Source organism: Homo sapiens, chromosome 12 (genome assembly GCF_000001405.40).
Source record: "Homo sapiens chromosome 12, GRCh38.p14 Primary Assembly".
NCBI classification, from domain to species: domain Eukaryota; kingdom Metazoa; phylum Chordata; class Mammalia; order Primates; family Hominidae; genus Homo; species Homo sapiens.
Window position 1 is genome coordinate 97893993 of NC_000012.12, and position 4658 is coordinate 97898650.

The 4658-nt window shown below is 42.1% G+C and overlaps 1 annotated feature.

Moving 5' to 3' along the window:
- Window positions 3818-4368: an enhancer, noted in NCBI's record as "H3K27ac-H3K4me1 hESC enhancer chr12:98291588-98292138 (GRCh37/hg19 assembly coordinates)". NCBI's record gives its function as "activates a minimal SCP1, AML or CMV promoter by ChIP-STARR-seq in naive H9 embryonic stem cells {active_cell/tissue: H9 hESC(naive)}" and the evidence as "EXISTENCE:reporter gene assay evidence [ECO:0000049][PMID:30033119]".

A 4658-nucleotide genomic window follows, 5' to 3' on the forward strand; every position in this document is an offset into this window, starting at 1 on the left:
TTGAAGAGGTCATTCACATCCTTGTAAGCTGTATTCCTAGGTATTTTATCCTCTTTGTAGCAATTGTGAACAGGAGTTCGCTTATGATTTGGCTCTCTGTTTGTCTATTATTGCTGTATAGGAATGCTTGTGATTTTTGCACATTGACTGTATCCTGAGACTTTGCTGAAGTTGCTTATTAGCTTAAGGAGATTTAGGGCTGAGACGATGGGTTTTCTAAGTATACAATCATGTCATCTTCAAACAGAGACAATTTACCTTCCTCTCTTCCTATTTGAATACCTTTTATTTCTTTCTCTTTCCTGATTGCCATGGCCAGAACTTCCAATACTGTGTTGAATAGGAGTGGTGAGAGAGGGCATCCTTGTCTTGTGCCGGTTTTCAAAGGGAATGCTTCCAGCTTTTGATCATTCAGTATAATATTGGCTGTGGATTTCTCATAAATAGTTCTCATTATTTTGAGATACGTTCCATCAATACCTAGTTCATTGAGAGTTTTTAGCATGAAGGGGTGTTGAATTTTATCAAAGGCCTTTTCTGCATCTATTTAGATAATCATGTGGTTTTTGTCATTGGTTCTGTTTATGAGATGGATTACATTTATTGATTTGCATATGTTGAACCAGACTTGCATCACAGGGATGAAGCTGACTTGATTGCGTTGGATAAGCTTTTCGATGTGCTGTTGGATTCTGTTTGCCAATATTTTATTGAGGATTTTTGCATCGATGTTCATCAGGGATATTGGCCTGAAATGTTCTATTTTTGTTGTGTCTCTGAAAGGTTTTGGTATCAGGATGACGCTGACCTCATCAAATGAGTTAGGAAGGAGTCCTTCGTTTACTATGCTTTGGAATAGTTTCAAAAGGAATGGTACCAGCTCCTCTTTGTACCTCTGGTAGAATTCAGCTGTGAATCCATCTGGTCCTGAGCTTTTTTTGATTGGTAGGCTACTAATTACTCCCTCAATTTCAAAACTTGTTAGTGGCCTATTCAGGGATTCAACTTCTTCCTGGTTTAGTCTTGGGAGAGTGCATGTCTCCAGGAATTTATCAATTTCTTCTAGATTTTCTAGTTTATTTGCATAGAGGTGTTTACAGTATTCTCTGATGGTAGTTTGTATTTCTGTGGCATCAGTGGTGATATCCCCTTTATCATTGTTTACTGTGTCTATTTGATTCTTCTGTCTTTTCTTCTTTATTACTTTGTTAGTCTGGCTAGTGGTCTATTTTGTTAATCTTAAAAAAGAAACAGTGCCTGGATTCATTGATTTTTTGAAGGGTGTTTTCTGTCTCTATCTCCTTCAGTTCTGCTCTGATCTTAGTTATTTCTTGTCTTCTGCTAGCTTTTGAATTTGTTTGCTCTTGCTTCTCTAGTTCTTTTCATTGTAATGTTATGGTGTCAATTTTAGATCTTTCCCACTTTCTTCTGTGGGTATTTAGTGGTATAAATTTCCCTCTAAACACTGCTTTAGCTGTGTCTCAGAGATTCTGGTACGTTGAGTCTTTGTTCTCATTGGTTTCAAATAACTTATTTATTTCTGCCTTAATTTCGTTATTTACCCAGTAGTCATTCAGGAGCTGGTTGTTCAGTTTCCATACAGTTGTATGGTTTTGAGTGAGTTTCTTAATCCTCAGTTCTAATTTGATTGCACTGTAGTCTGACAGATTGTTTGTTATGATTTCCATTCTTTTACATTTGCTGAGGAATGTTTTACTTCCAATTATGTGATCAATTTTAGAATAAGTTTGATGTGGTACTGAGAAGAATGTATATTCTGTTGATTTGGGATGGAGAGTTCTGTAGATGTCTATTAGGTTCACTTGGTCCAGAGCTGGATTCAAGTCCTGAATATACTTGTTAATTTTCTGTCTTGTTGATCTGTCTAATATTGACAGTAGGGTGCTAAAGTCTCCCACTATTATTGTTTGGGAATCTAAGTCTCTTTGTAGGTCTCTAAGAACTTGCTTAGTTAATCTGGGTGCTCCTGTATTGGGTGCATATATATTTAGGATAGTTAGCTTTTCTTGTTGCATTGATCCTTTTACCATTATGTACTGCCATTGTCTTTTTTGATCTATGTTGGTTTAAAGTCTGTTTTGTCAGAGACTAGGATTGCAACCCCTGCTTTTTCCTGCTTTCCATTTGCTTGGTAAATATTCCTGCATCCCTTTATTTTGAGCCTATGTGTGTCTTTGCAAATGAGATGGATCTCCTGAATAAAGCACACTGATGGGTCTTGACTCTTTATCCAATCTGCCAGTCTGTGTCTTTTAACTGGGGCATTTAGTCCACTTACATTTAAGGTTAATATTGTTATGTGTGAATTGGATCCTGTCATTATGATGCTAGCTGGTTACTTTCCCCGTTAGTTGATGCAGTTTCTTCATAGTGTTGATGGTCTTTACAATTTGGTATGTTTTTGCAGTGGCTGGTACCGGTTTTTCTTTTCCATATTTAGTGCTTCCTTCAGGAGCTCTTGTAAGGCAGTCCTGGTGGTGACAAAATCTCTCAGCATTTGCTTATCTGTAAGGGTTTTATTTCTTCTTCGCTTATGAAGCTTAGTTTGGCTGGATATGAAATTCTGGGTTGAAAATTCTTTTCTTTACAGATGTTGAATATTGGCTCCCACTCTCCTCTGGCTTGCAGGTTTCTGCCAAGAGATCCACTGTTAGTCTGATGGGCATCCCTTTGTTGGTAACTTGGCCTTTCTCTCTGGCTGTCCTTAACATGTTTGCCTTCATTTCAACCTTGGTAAACCTGATGATTATGTGTCTTGGGGTTGCTCTTCTCAAGGAGTATCTTTGTGGTGTTCTCTGTATTTCCTGAATTTGAATGCTGGCCTGTCTTGCTAGGTTGGAGAAGTTCTCCTGGATAATACCCTGAAGAGTGTTTTCCAACTTGGTTCCATTCTCCCTGTCACTTTCAGGTACATGAATCAAACATAGGTTTGGTCTTTTCACATAGTCCCATATTTCCTGGAGGCTATGTTCATTTATTTTCATTCTTTTTTCTCTAATCTTGTCTTCATGCTTTATTTCATTAAGTTGATCTTGAATCTCTGATATCCTTTCTTTTGCTTGATCAATTTGGCTACTGATACTTGTGTATGCTTCACGAAGTTCTCGTGCTGTGTTTTGCAGCTCCATCAGGTCATTTATGTTCTTCTCTAAACTGGTTATTCTAGTTAGCAATTCCTCTAACCTTTTTTCAAGGTTCTTAGCTTCTTTGCATTGGGTTAGAACATGCTCCTTTAGCTCGGACGCATTTGTTATTATCCACCTTCTGAAGCCTACTTCTGTCAATTTATCAAACTCATTCTCCATCCAGTTTTGTTCCCTTGCTGGTGAGGAGTTGTGATCCTTTGGAGGAGAAGAGGTGTTCTGGTTTTTGGAATTTTCAAACTTTTTGTGCTGCTTTTTTTTTTTTTTCCTGCATCTTCATGGATTTATCTACCTTTGATCTTTGATGTTGGTGACCTTCAGATGGGGTTTCTGTGTGGACGTCCTTTTTGTTGATCTTGATCCTATTCCTTTCTGTTTGTTAGTTTTCCTCCTAACTGTCAGGGCCCTCTGCTGAAGGTCTGCTGGAGTTTGCTGGAGGTACACTCCCGACCCTGTTTGCCTGGGTATCATCAGCGAAGGCTGCAAAAGAGCAAAGATTGCTGCCTGTTCCTTCCTCTGAAAGCTTCATCCCAGAGTGGCACCTGCCAGATGCCAGCTGGAGCTCTCCTGTATGTGGTGTCTGTTGACCCCTGCTTGGAGGTGTCTCCCAGTCAAAAGGCACGGGGGTCAGGAACCCACTTGATGAGGCAGTCTGTCCCTTAGCAGAGCTTGAGCACTCTCCTGGGAGATCTGCTGCTCTCTTCATAGCCAGCAGGCAGGAAAGTTTAAGTCTGCTGAAGCTGGGCCCACAGCCGCCCCTTCCTCCAGGTGCTCTGTCCCAGGAGATGGGAGTTTTATCTATAAGCCCCTGACTGGGGCGTCTGCCTTTCTTTCAGAGATGCCCTGCCAAGAGAGGAAGAATCTAGAAAGGCAGTCTGGCTACAGGGGCTTTGTGAAGCTGCAGTGGGCTCCACCCTGTTCGAACTTCCCAGTGGCTTTGTTTACACTGTGAGGGGAAAACGGCCTACTCAAGCCTCAGTAATGGCAGACGCCCCTCCCCCTACCAAGCTCCAGTGTCCCAGGTCGACTTCAGACTGCTGTGCTGGCAGCAAGAATTTCAAGCCAGTGGATCTTAGCTTGCTGGGCTCCATGGGGGTGGGATCTCCTGAGCTAGACCACTTGGTTCCCTTGTTTCAGCCCCCTTTCCAGGGGAGTGAATGGTTCTGTCTCGCTGGCGTTGCAGGCACCACTGGGGTATTTAAAAAACTGCAGCTAGCTTGGTGTCTGCCCCAACAGCTGCCCAGTTTTGGGCTTGAAACCCAGGGCCCTGGTGGTGTAGGCACCCGAGGGAATCTCCAGTTCTACGGGTTGTGAAGACTGTGGAAAAAGCACAGTATCTGGGCTGGAATGTGCCGTTCCTCACAGCACAGTCCACCAGGCTACCCTTGGCTAGGGGAGGGAGTTCCTGGATCCCTTCCACTTCCCTGGTGAGGTGACACTCCACCCTGCTTCTGCTTGCCCTCCATGGGCCGCACCCATTGTCTAACCAGTCCC